This window comes from Homo sapiens, chromosome 20 (genome assembly GCF_000001405.40).
Source record: "Homo sapiens chromosome 20, GRCh38.p14 Primary Assembly".
Classification (NCBI taxonomy): Eukaryota; Metazoa; Chordata; class Mammalia; order Primates; family Hominidae; genus Homo; species Homo sapiens.
The window spans coordinates 15,134,523-15,161,199 of record NC_000020.11 but is presented as its reverse complement, the minus strand read 5'-3'; the positions used below and the strand labels follow the sequence as shown (position 1 = coordinate 15,161,199).

The 26,677-nt window shown below is 39.7% G+C and overlaps 1 protein-coding gene across 3 annotated transcripts in view, besides 1 other annotated feature; it reads right to left on the bottom strand.

Moving 5' to 3' along the window:
* The window catches only part of MACROD2 (mono-ADP ribosylhydrolase 2), a 2,057,682-nt gene that overhangs the window by 891,998 nt on the left and 1,139,007 nt on the right, over positions 1-26,677 (bottom strand). The gene's annotated exons all lie outside the window — the stretch shown is intronic.
* Positions 6,959-7,128: an enhancer, noted in NCBI's record as "experimental_59671 CRE fragment used in MPRA reporter constructs". NCBI's record gives its function as "activates a minimal promoter by MPRAs in K562 erythroleukemia cells, with activity observed for both the introgressed and non-introgressed 20:15134803 variant alleles {active_cell/tissue: K562}" and the evidence as "EXISTENCE:reporter gene assay evidence [ECO:0000049][PMID:34662402]".

Genomic DNA, 26,677 nt, shown 5'->3' with positions numbered 1-26,677 from the left:
TTATCTAATTTAATTCTTGTTACAGCCAGCTGAAGATTAGTCCCATTGTATATATGTAGAAACTGAGACTCAGAGAGGTGAACTGACATGTCCAATCCACATGGCAATGAGGCAAAACCAGGATTTAAAGGTGAACTATCTAATAAAAACTTCTACTGCTCCTTACACCTTATGACATTTTCATCAATTGTATAACAGTGTGCATGCACATGCATATGTGTGTGTCATCCACTCCTTGATCCATGTTAACTTCCTGCAAAACTTCTATCTCTCTAGTAAAAAAAATAATCAAAATAATTTACAAAGATAGGTTCTGGGCACATGGAATTAGCTATCATCTGCTCAAATTAAGCACAGATAATTCAGTAATTGTTTCCTGAAATTGTTGCAGATCAGATTAGGAACTAATAATTTATGTATCCAGAAAAAAATGGACCCAATTTCAAATACATATTTAAAAAATACTATTAGATCAAGGGATATAATGGGTTAAGTCAGTTTTTCTACTGATATTTTCTCCTTATCCAAACTGAAAAGCACTGGGGGCAGATAGTGGGGAGAGGATATGGGTGGAAGGGTGAAGGTAAATGGGATCGTGTCTATTTTTCTCCTGTTTATGCCTGCCATAGAATAGGAGGTCATTAATTTTTTGAATAAATAAATGATTCATAGGTGTGACACTAAAGGAGGTCTTATAAAAAGTAGGGTCAAAGGACAAATATGACTAGTACTTCTTCAGAAAATGTGTGTTCTCTACTATACTCTCCAAATAAATCAAACTTGAAAAGTTGCCGAAATTGCAATAGAGTGGTTTCTACAATGTTTTTAGTTGAAACTTTGGAATTGTTGTCTACAGCTCCTTTGCCCTCATATCAAATCGCTATGATAGTTCACCATTTCTTGTTCCAGAATCTCTCTTACATTCATCCTCTTTCTCCATTCCACTGCCAGTGCCCAAGCTTGGGGGTTTCTCTTCTTAATGCTCTCCTGGATAATTGTAAGAGCCTCCTTATCGTCACCGTCCCATCTTTTTCAACCACCTTCAACACACCCTGGCCAAATATTAAGGGGTTCCAATTGTCTCTGAAATACAGTTTGAACTTTACAAGGGTATCAGTGACTTTCCATGCCCTGTCTCCATTTACATTTCTAACATAACTCTTACCTGCACCTGTCATGAACATTTTGTTCCTATTAAGCCATTGGGCTTAGTCTCTGAGAACACTCTAAGCAGTTCTCATTTATTTTATTTTCCTGAAATACCTCTCCTTCCTCAGTATTTTCCTGGGAAAGTCAACTCAAACGCCCCAAGATCCAACCTCTCCCACTGCGCTGAGAATTTAGCATCTTCCTCTCCTGCTCTCCAACAGTGCCTTGCTTGTACTTTACTAGGCTAATAGTGCATATTTTTATTGTGTGTGTGTGCCCATGCGTGTGTGTGTGTGCCCATGTGTATGTGTGTTATACCACCTCTACTAGATTATAAACTCCCTTAGGATAAGGGAACTAGACTGCCCAGTGCTGTGCATGGCAGGAAAAAAAATCATTCTCCCATATCAACCAAAAACCAATCAATCAATCTCCTTACATAATTAGAGTTTGTGAAATAAATGATTGTCTGCTCCTTCCATTTGGTCTTCCTCAAAATAAAGCAAACCATATTTTTATTCTTATCTTCCAAAAAAAGTGGATTACCCTTAACTTTACCCTCTGTCAAAGAGTATATTTCAATCACTCTAGTTCTACATCAACATATAGAGTTGCATATTTTTGAAAAACCAAGATAGAAAATTCCAAGAGTCTTGATTGAACTCTTATTTCTGCAAAATTTCCAGAGAGTCATATGTTTGACAAAACTGACTACACACAAAGAGAGGGAAAAAAAGGCAGAGAATGAACCTAAATCAGAAGAAAATAGGGGAGAAGAGTTTTCCTAAAGGTCATACTTTCGTTATACAACAAAAGACACATTTTTCCCCCAGTGGCTTTACCCTTTTTGTTTTATGAAAAATAAGAGAAAAATGAGATTCTAGAAAAGAATTTTTTTGTATTCTATGATTAATAGGGTTTGAAACGTAATAAAATTATGTTACAAGTACAGTTTGAATATTGCATTCAATCTCTCTATATACATATATTAAAAAGGAAGAAGAAATTTCCTCTTTAACTTTGTGGGTAGAAACACAATGTATTGCAGATACTGGCCTATGCATTTGAGGGAGAAAAATACATTGGATTGGCAAGAAATGGAGATTAAAGGAAAAGAACAGAACCATGGTCAACATCTTCAGATTTCCTGGTGATAAATGTGTATTCAATACATAACTCCTTGTCATCCTGTAACTGAGACGTCAAAGCTCTTGAATTACTTTATATTCCATTAGTGTCTATTTTGCAGTCTACTCAACAAGTTAATGATCTTTTCATAGGATTTCTGAATTATGGACTCAGGAAAACAGACAAACCAGTAGCTATCCTTCAAGAAAATGACTAATATTGCCGGAACTGAGTATGAGATTTTCATTTGCTTTGCAAACAGGTGACAAAGGGCCAAGGACATCTATTGAAATGAACTCAGCACAAACACAAATTGAAGATAATGTCATTGACCTCCTAATCTCTCTATTTTCACTACACACTTCTGCTGTGGTAGAGTTAAAAGATTTGTACTTGAAAGACCCTATTTGAATTTAGCCTGCCTTTTACTAAATTTTGAGGTGTGTGAAAAGAACAGAGTTTCTCTGTGGTATTCAATTTTCTCACCTGTAAAATCAGGAAAAAAATGTTAACTATCACTGGAGGATTTTGTGGGGATAAGATGGGAAACACATATGCAAAAACATTTTCTAAACTGCGAATGCTGATTGCTATTATTATTACTACTGCTATTGGTATTATTACAATCATAATTACTGTCTTATCATTTGAATTACTTTTAACAAAGAGGAAGAGATGCCTATTTGAAGAGTTTTAGAAAAGAAACCTGCAAGTTGAAAGCCACGTTTCAAAAACATATCCATTTGAAGCCATTTCCACAAAGGTGGAGAATATCCCCTATTATGTGTCACTGCCAAGGGAGCTTGGCGTGATTCAAAATAAAGTGATAAAACACCTCCATTTATTTCATAATGGGAACTACACATTATGTGTTGCTAATGGGAGGGGTGGTGGGGGCACAGGGAGAGTTGCCACACTCCAAGGGGTAACTGAAGAGAATTTAATGAAGGGGCTATTTTCAAAGTTGTAAAATGATAAAGCACCCTGAGGTTCACAGCAATGGGGAGCCTTGGCCACCTGTGGGCCTGACAGGGCAATGGGAGAAAGTGGTGATTAGAGCCCAGTGAGAAATATGGCTGGGAAAGAGGGCTACTTCTGAAGAGGGATACAGCCACCACTAACCAGCATCTGCAGGTACAATAATAAACACCTTGACCTCTCTCTTGTCCTGTACTCAGATTTCCTGCCAGTGCCCACCATTGGCTGGGGTAGCCCAGGTGATACAATTCATAGAGGTCAGTGTGTCAAGGGATGAAGTGTGGATTAGGGGTCAGTTGGAAACTATTCAGGACACTAACTTAAATGCTATTAGTCAACACTAGCTGTTGAGCTTATAGAAAGAGAACAAATAATCAAAACACACACCTGCAAAAGAAGCAACTAATCAAAACACACTTACTAAATGAAAGGACCATGCAATGTTAACAGCAGAAACACAACAGGTTCACATAACCATTTTTATGGCTGAATGCCTGTGTCTTCCCTAAATTCATATGTCAAAGCTCCAGCCCCTGATGTGATGGTATTTAGAGGTGAAGCCTGGGTGGCCGGGGGGGGGGGAGGTGGGGGGGGGTGGTTAATTAGATTTAGATGAGGTCATGAAAGCATGACCCTCATGATAGGATTAGTGCCCTTCTCTCTGAGAGCATGCATCAGAGAAAAGGCATTGTGAGTGCACAAAGAGAAGGAGGCTGTCTCCAATTCCAGAGAGCCGTTCCTCACAAGCCGCTGAGACTGTTGGCATCTTAGTCTTGGACTTCCCAGCCTCCAGAACCCTGAAAAATAAATGTCCATTGTTTAAGCCACCCAGTCTGTGGCATTTTATTAGAGAAGCCAGATCTGACTAAGTCAACTTTTTCAAAATGTGACTAAATAGTGGTGAAAGATAACAGTAATGGACTAGGAAATTGTAACATATTTGACCAGCTTAGCGCTGAAATCACATAAAAGCTCACAACAGGAAAAAGTTAATGTGATACAGATTTAATGATGAAATTTAAAACTTTTTACTTTTAAAGTTTAATTTTGCTGCCAGGGTCCAGAGAAAAGCATGGGGAAAAATCATTTGTATAAATGGCTTGGCTAATACAGGTATTTCTATTGAGTCAAATCCAGGTTTTCTGAGGGTCTGCTAAGAGGAAGGAATGAGAAGGAAAAGAAGCAGATCAGGAAACCACTTATTTCCTCTGAAGACCCTTGACTTCCCATTCTCTCCCCCAGGCACTCTATTCCCCTCTCCTGGAAAGGGAGGAAGAAAGCTGAAATGAATCACCCAGGCCTAGGGTGGTTGTTCCAGAAATACTGTATAGGATGAGCTTAGGGTAGGAGATCTGGTAGAAAGGGATACTTGGGTAATTAACTTGAAGGTGCAAAGCACTACAGGTTTTATCAGAGAGTGTCTTAAATTGGGGTGAGTCAAGGGGATACATGATACCTATTATAAGTAAATGAGAGATAAGTCAACAGTGACCAATCTTTGCTAAAAAGAAAACCAAAGGGGGAAAAAAAGTGGATTACCATTAAGAAAGCTACTGCTTCTATTACTAAGATGAAAAGTAATAATTTTGCATTTTTAAAGCTTTTTTTTCTAAGTCACTGATGACTTCCAATCAAAGCAAAGTGAAAAGCTGAGCAATGAGCTAGTAGTATTACCCTGATGGTCAACCTGGGAAATAAAGGACAAAGGATTTTTACTATAGAATGCAGTCTCCCAACCCAGGATGTCTCTTGCCTAATCCTTCACATCCTTGCCATCACTTCTTTAGTCACATCTCAAAAAGAAGGTGAGGAAAAAGGAAATTGCAGATTTGCAAGTGAGATAAGGTTAACAACTTGGACCTTATTGCACCTGTGTAAGTACCATCATCTGGAGATTTTATCAAAGCAGCAAATGTCACACCTTACCACCTAAGGGTAAAGGAAATGCATTATTTAAAACCCACACACCAGGATGTCTGACTCAGAGTTGACTAGCATTGCTGGTAACTCATAGAAGCAAAGCACCAGATTTGCAAAATTAAAACTGAGACACACTAAAAGCCATTGGGTCATTTTATGTTTTTTTTTTTCTATTCCTCATGTTCTAAATGAAAATGCTAGATATAAATACAGAGATTATAGTTCTAAGGAAGATCACCACCTATGTCTCTTTTTTGTCATTTATTTGTTGGTTCAGTTATTCATTCGATAGATTAATAACAAGAACTCTTTTAAGTATTAGGGATCCCATGGTGATAAAACCACTGTTCCTACACTCAGGGAGCTCCTGTTCTAATGAAGAAAGAGAGATACATGATAGGCTCAGAGATTATGCTCCAGCACAATGGAATCTCAAAAGGGGCTCACCTCACTCAGCCTGACATCACTAGGAAGAGTCAGTAAGTTCCTGAAGAAGATGAATCTGAAGAAAGGAAAGGAAGAGAGAAGTTTCTCAAGTAAAGAGTAGCAGGGTGGGCAGTTCAGGTGGAGGGGGCAGGCTAAGGAAAGTCATGGAGAATCAGACAGATTGTTAGGGATGCTCCAAGCCTGTGGGTCCCACTAGAGTATAAAGGGCAAGAGAGAGCAGTGAGAAATGAGGCTGGAAGGGAGGCAAGGGCCAGATGAGAGCAAACTGCATGGCAGACAGGATTGCAGCCTAAAGTCTATGTGAGTTTGAAGAGTTTTCTGTAGGGAAAGAGGGGTGCCCACAAGATCAGAATCATCTGACAAATTATACTCATTAGGCAACATCTATTGATTATCTACCATGAATAGAGGACTCTACACTATATACTAGCAACAGTTACCATTTTGAGTTCTTAATATAACCCCCAGTAACCTAAACAAGGTGAGTTCTTCTATATCCTTATTATCTGTTGCTATTATTTTTCTTATTTCATTTTTTTTAAATTGAAGAAACACAAGGACATAAACTTTTAACCCATTCAGCCTAGATTTCAGCCATAATAAGAACCTAGGGAGTCTGGCTACAGATCTCACTCTTTTCCCCACTGATCATCTTGCCTCACTCAAGTGAACCATTTACTTTATGATTTCTAAAGACTGAAAATGCTTTCCTATATAAGAAGCCTCTTTACTTTTGAGAGTGATGCAATGGACTGAATGTTTGTGTTCCCCCAAAATTCATGTGCTGCAATCCTAAGCCCCAATGTGATATTAGGAGGTGGAGCCTTTGGGAAGTGATCGAGCCCTGAGGGTGGAGCCCTTATGAATGGGCTTAGTGCTCCAGTAACAGAGAGCCCTAGAGAACTCTCTCACTCTCTTCTCACCTTGTGAGGATGCAACAAGACGGGATCTGTAAAGTGGAAGAGGGGGTCACTAGAACTTGAGCTTGCTGGCACCTTGATCTCAAACTAACAGACTCCAGAACTGTGAGGAATAAATGCCTGTTGTTTATAAGTCACCCAGTTTATGGTACTTTGTTATAGTAGCCCGAGCTAACCAAGACAAGTGGCATAGCTAACTCTGTCTTTAAAGTGCTAATGTCATGTGACTCATCTGCCCAAAGTAGGTAGAGAGCTTTCATCCAGTTGGATAAGCCAGACCTTTCTGCCCACTGTCAGCTTCTCTCCAGTCAGGCTATTTACCTCTTAGATGGTGTATTAGACACTGGAAAATCTGTGGAAAGGTTCCTGCCAGTTCATACCTGCAAGTGACGGTGAGGAATGAGAAAACTGAGTTGCAGGGATAAGATGAGTCAGAGTGTGGCAGGGGCTATACTGCTTCTTCCATGTCCTAGGATATTTACTTTGGGCTGAAGAAATATCGCTGCTAGAAATTTCTGAACTCACCAGTGGAAAGCAGGATTCTTCATGGCCAGAGGTAAAAGCAGGACTAAAGAAAGAAGCAAATTACTTGTCATCAGGTAGGGGATAGTCTATTGAGCTTCAGTGAACATGGGAATCTGTGACTAAAATCCTTTGAAAAATGCACCCTCAAACAGCAAGGGTGTCATTATAACTCCAATCATTTGTGTTGTTCACAGTAAGAGGACATCCTTTGAACATTCTGTCAAAGTATAAAAAATCCTTCTGGAAAAATACACTTAAGTATACAGCTCCATGGGTTTCCACAAACTGAACACATTCTTGCAACCAGCACACAGATAAAGAAACAAGATGTGACCAATGCCCCAGAAGCCCTCCATATGCTTTCCAGGCCCTACTCACCCAATAGAGACACTACCCTAAAATTCTGATTTCTGACTACATAGATTATTTTTCTTTGTTTTAAGGCTTCACATAATTGGAATCATTCAGTATGTATTCCATATCTGGCTTCATTCATTCAACATTATGCTTATGAGACAGGTCCATGTTGTCATGTGGAATCATCTTATTGTTCTATGACAATTCCTTGTGAGTTCATACCTTATTTATCTAGGAAGTTACACTAATTTTCATGGGAACTGCTATAGTGTGTGTCAGGCCTCTGAGCCCAAGCTAAGCCATCATATCCCCTGTGACCTGCACATACACATCCAGATGGCCAGTTCCTGCCTTAGCTGATGACATTATCTTGTGAAATTCCTTATCCTGGCTCATCCTGGCTCAAAAGCTCCCCTACTGAGCACCTTGTGACCCCTACTCCTGCCTGCCAGAGAACAACCCCCCTTTTTCATTTACCTACCCAAATCCTATAAAATAGCCCCACCCCTAGCTCCCTTCACTGACTCTCTTTTCAGACTCAGCCCGCCTGCACCCAGGTGAAATAAATAGCCTCGTTGCTCACACAAAGCCTGTTTGGTGGTCTCTTCACATGGACACACATGAAATTTGGTGCCGTGACTCGAACTGGGGGACCTCCCTTGGGAGATCAATCCCCTGTCCTCCTGCTCTTTGCTCCATGAGAAAGATCCACCTACGACCTCAGGTCCTCAGACTGACCAGCCCAAGAAACATCTTACCAATTTCAAATCCGGTAAGCGGCCTCTTTTTACTCTCTTCTCCAACCTCTCTCACTATCCCTCAACCTCTTTCTCCTTTCAATCTTGGCACCACACTTCAATCTCTCCCTTCTCTTAATTTCAATTCCTTTCATTTTCTGGTAGAGACAAAGGAGACACGTTTTATCCGTGGACCCAAAACTCCAGTGCCAGTCATGGACTAGGGAAGGCAGCCTTCCCTTGGTGTTTAATCATTGCAGGGATGCCTCTCTGATTATTCACCCAGGTTTCAGAGGTGTCAGTCCACGCAGGGACGCCTGCTTTGGTCCTTCACCCTTAGCGGCAAGTCCCACTTTTCTGGGGGAGGGGCAAGAACCCCAACCCCTTCTCTGTGTCTCTACCCCTTCTCCGCTTTTCTGGGGGAGAGGCAAGAACCCCTCAACCCCTTCACCTTCACCCTTAGTGGCAAGTCCCACTTTTCTAGGGGAGGGGCAGGAACCCTGACCTCTTATCTCTGTGCCCCGATCCCTTATTTCCATGCCCTAACCTCTTATCTCTGTGCCCCAATCCCTTATTTCCACGCCCCCAACCTCTTATCTCTGTGCCCCAACCCCTTATTTCCATGCCCCAAACCCCTTCTCTGCTTTTCTGGAGGGCAAGAACCCCCACCTCTTCTCCGTGTCTCTACTCTCTTTTCTCTGGGCTTGCCTCCTTCACTATGGGCAAGCTTTCACCTTCCATTCCTCCTTCTCCCTTAGCCTGCGTTCTTAAGAACTTAAAACCTCTTCAACTCTCACCTGATCTAAAATCTAAGCATCTTATTTTCTCCTGCAATGCCGCTTGACCCCAATACAAACTTGACAGTGGTTCCAAATAGCCGGAAAACGGCACTTTCAATTTTTCCATCCTACAAGATCTAAATAATTCTTGTCGTAAAATGGACAAATGGTCTGAGATGCCTGACGTCCAGGCATTCTTTTACACATCGGTCCCTCCCTAGTCTCTGTTCCCAATGCAACTCATCCCAAATCTTCCTTCTTTCCCTCCCACCTGTCCCCTCAGTCCCAACCCCAAGCGTCGCTGAGTCTTTCTAATCTTCCTCTTCTACAGACCCATCTGACCCCTCCCCTCCTCGCCAGGCAGAGCTAGGTCCCAATTCTTCCTTAGCCTCCACTCCTCCACCCTATAATACTTTTATCACCTTCCCTCCTCACACCCGGTCCAGCTTACAGTTTCGTTCCATGACTAGCCCTCCCCAACCTGCCCAGCAATTTACTCTTAAAAAGGTGGCTAGAGCTAAAGACATAGTCAAGGTTAATGCTCCTTTTCCTTTATCCCAAATCAGAGAGTGTTTAGGCTCTTTTTCATCAAATATAAAAATCCAGCCCAGTTCATGGCTCATTTGGCAGCAACTCTGAGATGCTTTACAGCCCTAGACCCTAAAAGGTGAAAAGGCCGTCTTATTCTTAATATACATTTTATTACCCAATCTGCTCCCGACATTAAATAAAACTCCAAAAATTAAATTCCGGCCCTCAAACCCCACAACCAGACTTAATTAACCTCACCTTCAAGGTGTACAATAATAGAGTAGAGACAGCCAAGTAGCAATATATTTCTGAGTTGCAATTCCTTGCCTCCACTGTGAGACAAACCCCAGCCACATCTCCAGCACACAAGAACTTCCAAACGCCTGAACCGCAGCAGCCAGGCATTCCTCCAGAACCTCCTCCCCCAGGAGCTTGCTACAAGTGCTGGAAATCTGGCCATCGGGCCAAGGAATGCCTGCAGCCTGGGATTCCTCGTAAGCCGCGTCCCATCTCTGTGGGACCCCACTGAAAATTGGACTGTCCAACTCACCTGGCAGCCACTCCCAGAGCCCCCTGGAACTCTGGCCCAAGGCTCTCTGACTGACTCCTTCCCAGATCTTCTCGGCTTAGCAGCTGAAGACTGACACTGCCTGATCGCCTCGGAAGCCCTGTAGACCATCGTGGACGCCGAGCTTTAGGTAACTCTCACAGTGGAGGGTAAGTCCGTCCCCTTCTTAATCAATATGGAGGCTACCCACGCCACATTACCTTCTTTTCAAGGGCCTGTTTCCCTTGCCTCCATAACTGTTGTGGGTATTGACAGCCAGGCTTCTAAACCTCTTAAAACTCCCCAACTCTGGTGCCAACTTAGACAACACTCTTTTAAGCACTCCTTTTTAGTTATCCCCACCTGCTCAGTTCCCTTATTAGGCCGAGACACTTTAACTAAACATTCTGCTTCCCTGACTATTCCTGGACTACAGCCACATCTCATTGCCGCCCTTCTTCCCAATCCAAAGCCTCCTTTGCATCCTCCTCTTGTATCCCCCCACCTTAACCCACAAGTATAGGATACCTCTACTCCCTCCTTGGCAACTGATCATGCATCCCTTACCATCCCATTAAAACCTAATCACCCTTACCTCGCTCAATGCCAATACCCCATCCCACAGCATGCTTTAAAAGGATTAAAGCCTGTTATCACTCGCCTGCTACAGCATGGGCTTCTAAAACCTATAAATTCTCCTTACAATTCCCCCATTTTACCTGTCCAAAAACCGGACAAGTCTTACAGATTAGTTCAGGATCTGTGCCTTATCAACCAAATTGCTTTGCCTATCCACCCTGTGGTGCCCAACCTGTACACTCTTTTGTCCTCAATACCTTCCTCCACAACTCACTATTCTGTTCTTGATCTTAAAAATGCTTTTTTCACTATTCCCCTACACCCCTCGTCCCAGCCTCTCTTCGCTTTCACTTGTACTGACCCTGACACCCATCAGGCTCAGCAAATTACCTGGGCTGTACTGCTGCAAGCCCTCACAGATAGCCTCCATCACTTCAGTCAAGCCCAAATTTCTTCCTCATCTGTTACCTATCTTGGCATAATTCTCATAAAAACACATGTGCTCTCCCTGCCGATAGTGTCCAACTGATCTCTCAAACTACAGCACCTTCTACAAAACAACAACTCCTTTCCTTCCTGGGCATGGTTGGATACTTTTGCCTTTGGATACCTGGTTTTGCCATCCTAACAAAACCATTACATAAACTCACAAAAGGAAACCTAGCTGACCCCATAGATCCTAAATCCTTTCCCCACTCATCTTTCCATTCCTTGAAGACAGCTTTAGAGACTGTCCCCACCCTAGCTCTTCCTGACTCATCCCAACCCTTTTCATTACACACAGCCGAAGTGCAGGGCTGTGCAGTCAGAATTCTTACACAAGGACCGGGATTGCGTCCTGTAGCTTCTTTGTCCAAACAACTTGACCTTACTGTTTTAGGCTGGCCATCATGTCTCCGTGCAGCAGCTGCTGCCGCCCTAATACTTTTAGAGGCCCTTAAAATCACAAACTACGCTCAACTCACTCTCTACAGCTCTCATAACTTCCAAAATCTATTTTCTTCCTCACACCTGACGCATATACTTTCTGCTCCCTGGCTCCTTCAGCTGTACTCACTCTTTGTTGAGTCTCCCATAATTACCATTGTTCCTGGCCCGGACTTCAATCCGACCTCCCACATTATTCCAGATACCACACCTGACCCCTATGACTGCATCTCTCTGATCCACCTGACATTTACTCCATTTCCCCACATTTCCTTCTTTCCTGTTCCTCACCCTGATCACACTTGGTTTACTGATGGCAGCTCCACCAGGCCTAATCGCCACACACCAGCAAAGGCAGGCTATGCTATAGTACAAGCCACTAGCCCACCTCTTAGAACCTCTCATTTCCTTTGCATCGTGGAAATCTATCCTCAAGGAAATAACTTCTCAGTGTTCCATCTGCTATTCTACTACTCCTCAGGGATTATTCAGGCCCCCTCCCTTCCCTACACACCAAGCTCAAGGATTTGCCTCCACCCAGGACTGGCAAATTAGCTTTACTCAACATGCCCCAAGTCAAATAACTAAAATACCTCTTAGTCTAGGTAGACACTTTCACTAGATAGGTAGAGGCCTTTCCTACAGGGTCTGAGAAGGCCACTGCAATCACTTCTTCCCTTCTGTCAGACGTAATTCCTCAGTTTAGCCTTCCCACCTCTATACAGTCTGATAACAGACCAGCCTTTATTAGTCAAAACAGCCACGCAGTTTTTCAGGCTCTTAGTATTCAGTGAAACCTTTACATCCCTTACGGTCCTCAGTCTTCAGGGAAAGTAGAACAGACTAAAAGTCTTTTAAAAACACACCTCACCAAGCTCAGCCACCAACTTAAAAAGGACTGGACAATACTTTTACCACTTTCCCTTCTCAGAAGTCAGGCCTGTCCTCAGAATGCTACAGGGTACGGCCCATTTGAGCTCCTGTATAGACACTCCTTTTTATCAGGCCCCAGTCTCATCCCAGACACCAGACCAACTTGGACTGCGCCCCAAAAAACTTGTCATCTGTGCTGTTTTCTGTCTAGTCATACTCCTATTCACCATTCTCAACTACTCATACATGCCCTGCTCTTGTTTACAGTGCCAGTTTACACTGTTTTTCCAAGCCATCACAGCTGATACCTCCTGATGCTATCCCCAAACCGCCACTCCTAACTCTTAAAGTAAATAAATAATCTTTGCTGGCAAGGCTATGCTGAACCTCCTTAAGCACTCTCTAATTAGATGTCCTAGGTCCTCCCAATTCTTAGTCCTTTAATACCTGTTTTTCTCCTTCTCTTATTCCGTTTAGTTTTTCAATTCATACAAAACGGTATCCAGGCCATCACCAATAATTCTACATGACAAATGTTTCTTCTAACAACCCCCCACAATGTCATCCCTTACCACAAAATCTTCCTTCAGCTTAATCTCTCCCACTCTAGGCTCCCACACCGCCCCTAATCCCGCTCGAAGCAGCCCTGAGAAACATCGCCCATTCTCTCTCCATACCACCCCCCAAAAATTTTCACCATCCCAACACTTTACCACTATTTCATTTTATTTTTCTTATTAATATAAGAAGACAGGAATGTCAGGCCTCTGAGCCCAAGCTAAGCCATCATATCCCCTGTGACCTGCACATACACATAGAGATGGCCGGTTCCTGCCTTAACTGATGACATTATCTTGTGAAATTCCTTATCCTGGCTCATCCTGGCTCAAAAGCTCCCCTACTGAGCACCTTGTGACCCCTACTCCTGCCTGCCAGAGAACAACCCCCCTTTTTCCTTTACCTACCCAAATCCTATAAAATGGCCCCACCCCTAGCTCCCTTCACTGACTCTCTTTTCAGACTCAGCCCGCCTGCACCCAGGTGAAATAAACAGTCTTGTTGCTCACACAAAGCCTGTTTGGTGGTCTGTTCACACGGACGCACATGAAAGTGTGGACCCATTTTCAAATAACTCAGACAGAGGCAATGATTAGTCTCCTGTCACCACTGGATATGGATTCCAGGACATTGTTTCAGCCTCTTTACTATTAAAAAATAGCATAATAATTTTAAGGCACAAAAAGGGATAAGAAGCTACATAGAGAGAGAGATTGCTAGAAAGAATCAAAGAGGAAAAAAAATCTGTTGGAATGATAATAGCTATTTGCTTATAATTACACAAAGACCCTGGCTGGGTAAAAAAAAAAAAAAAATGCTAACTCCGTTTTACACACACAGAGTTCTCCTTTCCTTTATGTAAAAATAATGTTTCCCCATATTTCAAAATTTCCTATGTAAAACATTCTTCACAAAATCTGAACTTTCAATCAAATCCAGTCTATAGATGAGAGATAAGGAAAATTATGCAATAGCAATTTAGCACTCAATCTCTGTCATTTCAAGATGACAGCACCATTTGAAAAGGAAAAAGTACCATGAATTAAAATTCTGAAATAAAGGCATTTGGTTCATCTTGAATATGCCATGTGGAGCTCCCGCCCCCAGGGTAAGGCTCACTTTTTTCTACTCTGATTTACAGCTTGTTCTCCTGGGGGATACTCCAATTTCAAGGGCATTAAGTTACGATTTATTTACATAAGGCCAATCAAGGGTTATCCTGTTCTCAAAAATTAGGGGCCAGTACTGCTCCATAAATGGAACAAAAATGTTAATCACATTAAAATGGGGCCTCAATGATTGAAACAAGTAAGGCTGCAAATCAGAATGATTAATCATGATGACAAAACCAGAAACAAATTTCTATGCTAAAGAACAGCTTACTATCACTTTTTGCTTGTCTTCTCAAAGACAAATTCATGAAATTGGCATCTCAGAATGCCTCATCTTGGTCTTTCATGGTTCCAAAACAAAAGATCATTTTCCTTTCCTCTCTTCTCTCCCAGAAGCTATTACTTTTCTAAAATATAGGAATGAAAAGTCAGGTGTACAGATGAAGTTCGTCATATAAAGGAGTCAGGAAAAGAGATGGAAAATGTAAAAAACAAAAAGACTTCTTTGATGAAATCTATTCTTTGATCACAACATGTCTCAGTCAACGAAATATGAGGAAAGTTGAGGAGATCTTGCTCTACTACGCCCTGCTCTAATTGTGCTACTTTGGGTGAATTCTGAATTTCTAGAAGCAAAATATGATAAAATTAGCTTTACATTGGACAAATAGTATGTTACTTTATTTGATCTCTTTACTGTCTGTAAAACTGAGAAGCCAAGAATTAAGACAAGAAAACAAGGCCCTGATTTCCATTTTCACTACTACAATGATAGTTACCAAAAGTAAATAAATAAGGATCAGAACACTCAACACAGATACTCCGTATGATGCAAAGATTTCAGTAATTACCAAGATTTCTAGAAATCCTATATTCCGTATCACTAAAGCATTTCATTCTTCATGAGAAAATAGGAAAAATCAAAATAGATGCCTCAAGAGAAAGATTAAACAAAGAGCAGAAAATACTTATATAGAAGACATTATCAATTTATGAAACAACCGAAAATTATTTTTGCAAGTTGCAGAATGTATCAAAGCTGTATGAGATTGAAAGCTCAAAGATTGGGAATAAATGTAACAAATAAATTTTAAATGTTTTAAATCATAAATTATATTATCTGTACTTAATTACATTGTTGCTAGTGAGTACATATTTGTACATATTTATACTATTAATATGTTTATGCCTGAAAGCATTTATTATAAACAATTTTTTTGAAATTTTTCAAAACTAGTCACCACTTTCATATCAATGGTGGTGTTTCTTCAATTTTTCACTACTTAAAACCCACTTAATGAACATTAGGCAGAAATGCAAACATCATCTTTTAGGTAAAATTTTTAAACATTAAAAACAAATTTATATAAAATTTTTTTAAATTAAAAATCATTTCTTATCAGTTAAAGAGAACCTGTTATTTGCACATTTTCAGTCACAATTTAAATGTCGTGGTAATGGTTACTCCCAGAGGCTTCCAGTTTCACATCCCAACTTGTTTCTTTTCTTAGTCTTTATTTGTACTGTACTAGAGAAGCCCTATTTAAAATTAATTGTCATTAAGAACAGTGGCAAATGTTTGGTATTTCTTTCAAATATTTAGATGTCTTTGGAATAAAATGTTTCTGCCCAGAAAAGAAGGGTTCAGATTATTCAGACATCAAATACATTGCTGAGGGTGTCACTTGAATAACTGATACAAATAAAAGTGGCCTTTATTTGTATTATTGGTGTCGTATGAAAAACATGCCTTTTTCAAAAAAAAATAGAGTAATTCATTTTTTCTCTACTCCCTGATGAACTTCAATTTGGAAAAGCAGAAATTTATCCTTGAAACCCAGAAAATAAATCCCAAAGACTTACATCTATGGCTATAATTTTTTGAGTATTTCTTTCACCACCAAATCAGTATGAGGAAGCATAGCGTTGACCACCAAATGTCATCTGTGAATACAGCAGTGTGAGAATTTCCTTGTTGCACATATGGCTGTGCTCCATCAGCCTTCACCCCGGGGTATGTTTTCTAGGCTACATCACAGACTCCAAGATAACCATTTACTGAGTTAAAAATAACTTTCATTGCTAGAGTTTGGATTTCCAATAACAAGTAAGGCAAACAGTTGCCAGGCACCACTCCCTCATATATGTACCACACAAGTGCCAAATGCTGATTTATACAGCCCGTTCTTCTGTACTGTGCTCTATAGTAAGTACTATAGTAAGTATGGTATATAGTATATAGTAAGTATAGTATATAGTACTATAGTAAGCATAGTAAGTACTATAGAACAGAATATAGAACCACTCTTCCAGGACAGCAACCGCTTTTCCAGTGCTGGCAGATTCCAGGGGTGTCCATTTGGTTCAGAAATGTTGCCAAAAGTTCATCATGTTTCCCCGCTGGACATAACATTTGTCATTAAACTTTTGGCTTATTTTACCACCATCTCAGTCATAGTGTGACATTTACCTGATTATTTTTAACAAAGAGTGCAAAGTTGAATTATGCTCTTATGACTTTGGTGATTTCCCCACCTTTTGCAACAAAATACATTAATGTTGATGGGGAAAGTATTATCTTACTTTCCAGAGAAACTTAATCAGTTCAACAAAAAGGTCATTGTGTTTTGTTTGAAAACTGGAAGAACGTTTCAAAGTTTCAAAGTCACTATGTGACAAATGTATTATAATTGGATAAGGGGTAAAAAATATAAAATAAAATATAAAAATCATTCACATCTTATTTCTGATTCAAACTTTTCTTTTGTGGCTGCTTGAGTAAACCCATCACACTATCCTGACATGAACAAATTATAGTCTACATGTGCATTGGAGTTTTGATCACCAACCACTTGCAGTTTTTACATTAATTTGAATTGTAGGCCAGGTGCAGTGGTTCATTTAATTCTAACAGTTTGGGAGGTCGAGGGAGGAGGATTGCTTGAGCCCAGAAGTTTGAGACCAGCCTGGACAACATGATGTCTCTATATTAAAATTAAAAATATATACATGAATTGTAGTATTTATATTACTACTGTAATCACAACATTCATGCTTTGGCACCGTCCAACCCGCGGCCCACGACCCACATGAGGCCCAGGATGGCTTTTAATGCAGCACAACACAAATTTGTAAACTTTCTTAAAATATTATGAGGTTTTTTTTTTTTTGCGATTTTTTTTTTTTTAGCTCATCAGCGATCGTTAGTGTTAGGGTATTTTATGTGTGGCTCAAGAGAGTTCTTTCTACGTGGCCCAGGGAAGCCAAAAGATTGAACACCCCTTCTCTAGTGAATGTTTTTGTGCTGGTGATCTGCTTATTGTGAATCGAGAATATGATTCATCAAAATACTAACAATAAAAAAGAAAAAAATTAACAGATATAAATAATTAGAAAAAACTACAGGAAATCATATATTTTGGGGGAAGTGCACCATTAACTGAATATTTGCTGAGACAGCATGGCCAACACTTTGCAATGTTTTCATAGCCTTGGAGAGCATAATAGTACTTAACAAGATTAAAAAAAAATGCCTATGAAGGCATGGGCAAGGACTTCATGTCTAAAACACCAAAAGCAATGGCAACAAAAGCCAAAATAGACAAATGGGATCTAATTAAACTAAAGAGCTTCTGCACAGCAAAAGAAACTACCATCAGAGTGAACAGGCAACCTACAGAATGGGAACAAATTTTTACAATCTACTCATCTGACAAAGGGCTAATATCCAGAATCTACAAAGAACTTAAGCAAATTTACAAGAAAAAAATCAAACAACCCCATCAAAACTTGGGCAAAGGATATGAACAGACACTTCTCAAAAGAAGACATTTATGCAGCCAACACACATGAAAAAAATGCTCATCATCACTGGCCATCAGAGAAATATAAATCAAAACCAAAATGAGATACCATCTCACACCAGTTAGAATGGCAATCATTAAAAAGTCAGGAAACAACAGGTGCTGGAGAGGATGTGGAGAAGTGGGAACACTTTTACACTGTTGGTGGGACTGTAAACCAGTTCAACCATTGTGGAAGACAGTGTAGATTCCTCACAGGGATCTAGAACTAGAAATACCATTTGACCCAGCCATCCCATTACTGGGTATATACCCAAAGGATTATAAATCATGCTGCTATAAAGACACATGCACACATATGTTTATTGCAGCAGTATTCACAATAGCAAAGACTTGGAACCAACCCAAATGGCCATCAATGATAGACTGGATTAAGAAAATGTGGCACATATATACCATGGAATACTATGCAGCCATAAAAAATGATGAGTTCATGTCGTTTGTAGGGACATGGATGAAGCTGGAAACCATCATTCTCAGCAAACTATCACAAGGACAGAATACCAAACACCACGTGTTCTCACTCATAGGTGGGAACTGAACAATGAGAACACTCGGGCACAGGGTGGGGAACATCACACACCGGGGCCTGTCATGGGGTGGGGGGAGGGAGGAGGGATAGCATTAGGAGATACACCTAATGTAAATGACGAGTTAATGGGTGCAGCACACCAACATGGCACATGTATACATATGTAACAAATCTGCACGTTGTGCACATGTACCCTAGAACTTAAAGTATAATAATAAAAAAATAAAAGTAGTAAAAATGGAAAATAACAAAAAAATGCCTATGAAAACCATAACTAAACTTACATTTCAAACTTCCAAAAATTTTGAATGTATATATATGAACAAATATTTTTCTTTTAAATGATAGGTAACCTGTGGACAGAACGATTGGTTGGTAATTTTGGGGCTTTACTTTGAGAAATACTGGTTATCTAGGCATTTGCCATTATCAAAAACCTTTGATCCTCAACAAGGAGTCTTTTCAAAGTTTTAGCAACATTTTTTAGCTTGGAATTAATTTTTGTCTTCACTTTGCATGTATTTATTGAGTCTTAGTAGTTACCAGGTATTGCGTTAGATGCTAGGAGAGACACAAAGAATAAAAAGACATGTCTTCTGCCTTCTAGGAGTTTATAATTAACAGGTACTACAGGTATGCACACAGTCATAATTCAAGACATTGATAGGGTTATGCTCAAATGATAAAAATCCACTATGCTCACAGAAAAGAAAAACTGATTATGAGAACTGGCCAATGCTTGGTAGAACGCTGCATTTCAGGTGAACCTTAAAGAAGCGGAGAACACAAGAAGACCATGGAGAAGCATCAAGACTTGGGAAGCACAAGCTCGATCTGGGTTTCCTGGCAGAGATGATGCAAAAGGGAGGCAAGAAACTGCAGGTCAGATCAGAGTGGCCCTTGAATGCCATGCTATGAGGCATTCATTTTTCACACAGTAAGGATCTAGCAAAAGTTTCTGGGAAACTGAAATAAAAGTATTAGGCCTGTGATTTAAGAAAATCCTTCTGGCAGCATTGAAACAAAAGTGGCAAAGAATATTAAGAAGTGGTTTATTCTGAAGAAGTAGGAAAGAAAAAGGGAAAAAATCATCCAGATATCCAAATCACCTCCAGGCATTAGAAAGGTACGAATTAAACATGTGAATGTGAAGAGCAGGTGTACTTTCTGAGGTCACTTGGAATCAGAGAGAGGCAGGTAGTCCCTTCCCAGCCCCAATTTAAGGGCAGGAGAGGAGGCAAGCTGTGTGCATGGAAGGACAGTTATGGAGCCAGATCACTTGATTTCAAAGATACTTCTCTACATGCAGATACGTAGCTATATGCACTCCTTATGCAAACACGTGTATATCTATATGTATGTATGCGAGTACCTGAATGCATGTAAATTCTATATGCAGATATATAACTATATGCACTCCTTATGCAAACACGTGTATATCTATATGTATGTATGCTAGTGCCTGAATGCATGTAAATTCTACATGCAGATATATAACTATATGCACTCCTTATGCAAACACATGTATATCTATATGGATGTATGCTAGTGCCTGTATGCATGTAAATTCTATATGCAGATATATAACCACATGCACTCCTTATGCAAACACATGTATATCTATATGTATGTATGCTAGTGCCTGTATGCATGTAAATTCTATATGCAGATATATAACTATATGCACTCCTTATGCAAACACATGTATATCTATATGTATGTATGCTAGTGCCTGAATGCATGTAAATGGAATCTGGATGGATGTGAACAGTGATTTACATGGACACAAATTTGGTCAGTATGGTGCATACTGCGACTAAAACCTGGTTTACAAAATGTGATCCACGTAGGCAGTTACTGTCATTATGGTCTTTCACAACTGACTTATGATTAATGAGGGCAGTTGAAGCATGAATTAGTTTTGGGAGAGTGTGATATATTTCAAGACCCCTAAATTAAGGTCCCTAAGGGAGCACTCTGATTCTTTCGCATAGCAGATTCCTGTTCTTCAGCAACTTGTCTCACCACTTTTGACCTCACCCATTTCCTTCCCAGACCATGTTCCAGCCAGCTATTGCCAGCCCAGCCTCACTTCTGAAAAGAGAACATCACAGTCACAAAACATATTTTACTACAGGTTTGAGTGTAGAGGAGTTAAATTTATTGAATAATAAGTAAACTAATGATCTCATAAAATCAATGAGCCTCCCCAAAGGATATCAAGTCCTCCCAAATAAAGCACTACATTATCCAAGAAATATGCTTGCTGCTCCACTGGCCAACAATTTTCATCTCGGTTATACATATTATAATATTACATACACCCTTTGGAGAACTAGAGACAGACTAAGGAAATTTTGAATACTTTGAAGGAAATGATATTATAATGTACTGATAGGCCTTTCTCTGTGTATTTTAAATCCCCATGGCTCTCTCCGTTGAAGCAGCAAGGTTCTTCCATCATAACGAACTCAGGGAAAAGTTCTTATGCTGGCATGACTGGGAAACTCTTGGGAGGGAAAAAGGAGGGTCAGGACAAGTCATAACCCTGGACTCTTCTGGGCAAACCTGGATGTATGATCTCTCTATGTATAGAGGACGACATGGGTAAAATCTACAGAAAATTACAGCTACATTTCTTGCAAACGTGAGTTTGCGGTCTGTGGTCATTCCCACCCACATTTTTCTATACAACCATCCCACCTAGTTACCAAATAAGAAAAAAGATAAACAGTTGGGCTTGCTGCCTCAATGGCGATACCCATCATCAAGGATCAGTATTCAAGTGGCTCTTTTTTCAGTTGCGAACTGCATCGCAGTCTCTCTGGAGGTATTCCCTGGTCACCAGAAGGTCAGCTGCAACCCAGTCTCTATATGCCACTTGTGCATGTCACCACCAGGTAACTGGAAATGACTATGTGTGGTGTCGTGAGCCTCCTCAAGAATTTTCCCAAACAGTCTCAGATGAGCCAAGGTGTATTGACACATCTGTTTAGTCAGACTTACCCAACACCTGCTCTCCTAGGTCCTGAACATACAGCACTAATAATTTCAGGGTAATTGTTTTTACGAGCACCAATATTGGGCAAATCCACATGATTTTTTTTTCTCCCAATACATTCTGTTTGGAACCCAAAAAATGAAAACAAAATTCTCTGAGCTGAGACAGCTCCTGCATCCTTAGCCCATCCCAAGGTATAAGCCAGGATAATTACAGAGTGACATATGTTGACGGCAATAAAGCAGTTACGCATGTTCACTATTTGTTCTGAAGATTAACTGTCTACCACACTGCGGTATTTAAGCATGAGACCATTTCAGATTTAATGCACATTCCCCTACGACACCCCCCCACCATAAAACATAGCTAAGGAAAAAAATACAATTTACACGACTTACAACCATTTCACTAATATAAACAATGCTGGTGCAAAACAGTTGGCACCCAAAAAGACAATTTATATACTCCCTGCTCTTCCCTGCTGCCAAATCCAGGGTGACATGTTCATTGTTTTCCTCATAAAAATCTACAATTGCTTCTGCAAGAGCAAGAACAAAGACTGACTTTTTATTTCATTTTTATAAGCATGGATGAGCAGATGATATTCACAGGGGCCAAAACGAATACTAAGTTTCAGTCTGTCAGATCCCCAAATGGCAAAGACATTAAACCTCCATTTAATAGCTGCTAATGGAATCACTAGAACATTGTCAAGCTTTAGGGGTGCTTTTACGGTACAATTCTGATACGTGCCAACTCCTTCTATGATTAGACTCAGGTTAAAGACAGACCTAAAACACTCTCCTGCTGAAACCACTGAATAATCATTAACACTTAAGTAAATGCGAATAAACAAACAAATGAAAATATTCCAGGTAATTGAAGTTCAAGTGTGATAGAAACTGAAGATAAAGCTTTTTTCTATTAAGAAATAAATGACTCATTCCAACTCACTCACAGCCCTCAACACATTAATTTTTATCACTGAGATATGACTTTATGCAAATTATGTCAAGTAATTCAGCCACTACTTTAATACCACACTCTACATAAAACAAACACATTCAATGCCAAGCTGGCAGAGCACCCCCAGTATGCACTACAAGTGCAAAAATAACAACATGGAAGGTTTCTTTTTGAAGGTTGAATTATTTGAGAGAAAATTAAACCATTTCTTTTAGACCAATCTAGCTGAGCAAATAAGACTTCTGTAAAGATTAAGGAGCCTATAGCACAAGAAACGCAGCATATTCATTTGCTATAGCTTCTACTCTTTGAATTTTACACTGGAGACCTAAAAAAAGAATAGCTTAAATCTAAAATAGTCCATTATGAGACATTTCACATGCATAAATTCTCAATATTTCATAAATACTGTAACTATGAAAAAATCATTCATGCCTTAGATTTAGAAAATGGACCCTTGTGGAATATTGCCTTTCTCAACCTCAGCAAACAGAAGTTAAATATTTATAAAACAAAATATACTGAAACTATTTCAATTCTTGTGGGGGTAAAACAGACACTTTAAAGGAATCAGCCTGAACTTAGGAATCTTCTGTGTATTAATAGTGAATATACATATGCAAAAACTCTCTACAGAAGTATTAAAATTGATAGAGTTCCTAAATTTTCATCTCATATCAGAATATATAAAAACAGGGGTTACTCAATTATTTTACTAACTGATTGATATTGTCAGTCAATATTGATTAGTTTGGTATTTAAAAATATATGGAAGTAAACTAAAAATAACTACTGCTTAGAAAACTTCAGCTGATATGTGGAAGGATTAGATAACTGGAACACTACAGAAAGGAGCAAAATGAAGAGTAGAATTCTCTCTCACTCAACTAACCCCATCTTTTTCCAAAGGCAGGCACTATTTAATTTTACTTCTGTTTCCTTCTGGAAAGGGGGAGAAAAAGATTGATTAATGTAGCAATAAATCTATCTAAATGTGCATATTTTTAAAAACTTAACACTTCTGTACCTTACCTTTAAGATTATTATTTTTTTTTATTATTATTATACTTTAAGTTTTAGGGTACATGTGCACAAAGTGCAGGTTAGTTACATATGTATACATGTGACATGCTGGTGTGCTGCACCCATTAACTCATCATGTAGCATTAGGTATATCTCCTAATGCTATCCCTCCCCCCTCCCCCCACCCCACAACAGTCCCCAGAGTGTGATGTTCCCTTTCCTGTGTCCATGTGTTCTCATTGTTCAATTCCCACCTATGAGTGAGAACATGCGGTGTTTGGTTTTTTGTCCTTGCGATAGTTTACTGAGAATGATGATTTCCAATTTCATCCATGTCCCTACAAAAGACATGAACTCATCATTTTTTATGGCTGCATAGTATTCCATGGTGTATATGTGCCACATTTTCTTAATGCAGTCTATCATTGTTGGACATCTGGGTTGGTTCCAAGTCTTTGCTATCGTGAATAGTGCCGCAATAAACATACGTGTGCATGTGTCTTTATAGCAGCATGATTTACAGTCCTTTGGGTATATACCCAGTAATGGGATGGCTGGGTCAAATGGTATTTCTAGTTCTAGATCCCTGAGGAATCGCCACACTGACTTCCACAATGGTTGAACTAGTTTACAGTCCCACCAACAGTGTAAAAGTGTTCCTATTTCTCCACATCCTCTCCAGCACCTGTTGTTTCCTGACTTTTTAATGATTGCCATTCTAACTGGTGTGAGATGGTATCTCATTGTGGTTTTGATTTGTATTTCTCTGATGGCCAGTGATGATGAGCATTTTTTCATGTGTCTTTTGGCTGCATAAATGTCTTCTTTTGAGAATTGTCTGTTCATATTCTTTGCCCACTTTTTGATGGGGTTGTTTTTTTCTTGTAAATTTGTTTGAGTTCATTGTAGATTCTGGATATTAGCCCTTTGAAAGATGAGTAGGTTGCGAAAATTTTCTCCCATTCTGTAGGTTGCCTGTTCATTCTGACGGTAGTTTCTTTTGCTGTGCAGAAGCTCTTTAGTTTAATTAGATCCCATTTGTCAATTTTGGCTTTTGTTGCCATTGCTTTTGGTGTTTTAGACATGAAGTCCTTGCCCATGCCTATGTCCTGAATGGTAATGCCTAGGTTTTCTTCCAGGGTTTTTATGGTTTTAGGTCTAACATTTAAGTCTTTAATCCATCTTGAATTAATTTTTGTAAAAGGTGTAAAGAAGGGATCCAGTTTCAGCTTTCTACATATGGCTAGCCAGTTTTCCCAGCACCATTTATTAAAAAGGGAATCCTTTCCCCATTGCTCGTTTTTCTCAGGTTTGTCAAAGATCAGATAGTTGTAGATATGCGGCATTATTTCTGAGGGCTCTGTTCTGTTCCACTGATCTATATGTCTGTTTTGGTACCAGTACCATGCTGTTTTGGTTACTGTAGCCTTGTAGTATAGTTTGAAGTCAGGTAGCATGATGCCTCCAGCTTTGTTCTTTTGGCTTAGGATTGACTTGGCAATGCGGGCTCTTTTTTGGTTCCATATGAACTTTAAAGTAGTTTTTTCCAATTCTGTGAAGAAAGTCATTGGTAGCTTGATGGGGATGGCATTGAATCTATAAATTACCTTGGGCAGTATGGCCATTTTCACGATATTGATTCTTCCTATCCATGAGCATGGAATGTTCTTCCATTTGTTTGTATCCTCTTTTATTTCATTGAGCAGTGGTTGGTAGTTCTCCTTGAAGAGGTCCTTCACATCCCTTGTAAGTTGGATTCCTAGGTATGTTATTCTCTTTGAAGCAATTGTGAATGGGAGTTCACTCATGATTTGGCTGTTTGTCTGTTTTTGGTGTATAAGAATGCTTGTGATTTTGGTACATTGATTTTGTATCCTGAGACTTTGCTGAAGTTGCTTATCAGCTTAAGGAGATTTTGGGCTGAGACAATGGGGTTTTCTAGATATACAATCATGTCATCTGCAAACAGGGACAATTTGACTTCCTCTTTTCCTAATTGAATACCCTTTATTTCCTTCTCCTGCCTAATTGCCCTGGCCAGAACTTCCAACACTATGTTGAATAGGAGTGGTGAGAGAGGGCATCCCTGTCTTGTGCCAGTTTTCAAAGGGAATGCTTCCAGTTTTTGCCCATTCAGTATGATATTGGCTGTGGGTTTGTCATAGATAGCTCTTATTATTTTGAGATATGTCCCATCAATACCTAATTTATTGAGAGTTTTTAGCATGAAGGGTTGTTGAATTTTGTCAAAGGCCTTTTCTGCATCTATTGAGATAATCACGTGGCTTTTGTCTTTGGTTCTGTTTATATGCTGGATTACATTTATTGATTTGCGTATATTGAACCAGCCTTGCATCCCAGGGATGAAGCCCACTTGATCATGGTGGATAAGCTTTTTCATGTGCTGCTGGATTCGCTTTGCCAGTATTTTATTGAGGATTTTTGCATCAATGTTCATCAAGGATATTGGTCTAAAATTCTCTTTTTTGGTTGTGTCTCTGCCCGGCTTTGGTATCAGAATGATGCTGGCCTCATAAAATGAGTTAGGGAGGATTCCCTCTTTTTCTATTGATTGGAATAGTTTCAGAAGGAATGGTACCAGCTCCTCCTTGTACCTCTGGTAGAATTCGGCTGTGAATCCATCTGGTCCTGGACTCTTTTTGGTTGGTAAGTTATTGATTATTGCCACAATTTCAGAGCCTGTTATTGGTCTATTCAGAGATTCAACTTCTTCCTGCTTTAGTCTTGGGAGGGTGTATGTGTCGAGGAATTTATCCATTTCTTCTAGATTTTCTAGTTTATTTGCGTAGAGGTGCTTGTAGTATTCTCTGATGGTAGTTTGTATTTCTGTGGGATCGGTGGTGATATCCCCTTTATCATTTTTTATTGTGTCTATTTGATTCTTCTCTCTTTTTTTATTAGTCTTGCTAGCGGTCTATCAATTTTGTTGATCCTTTCAAAAAACCAGCAACTGGATTCATTAATTTTTTGAAGGGTTTTTTGTGTCTCTATTTCCTTCAGTTCTGCTCTGATTTTAGTTATTTCTTGCCTTCTGCTAGCTTTTGAATGTGTTTGCTCTTGCTTTTCTAGTTCTTTTAATTGTGATGTTAGGGTGTTAATTTTGGATCTTTCCTGCTTTCTCTTGTGGGCATTTAGTGCTATAAATTTCCCTCTACACACTGCTTTGAATGTGTCCCAGAGATTCTGGTATGTTGTGTCTGTGTT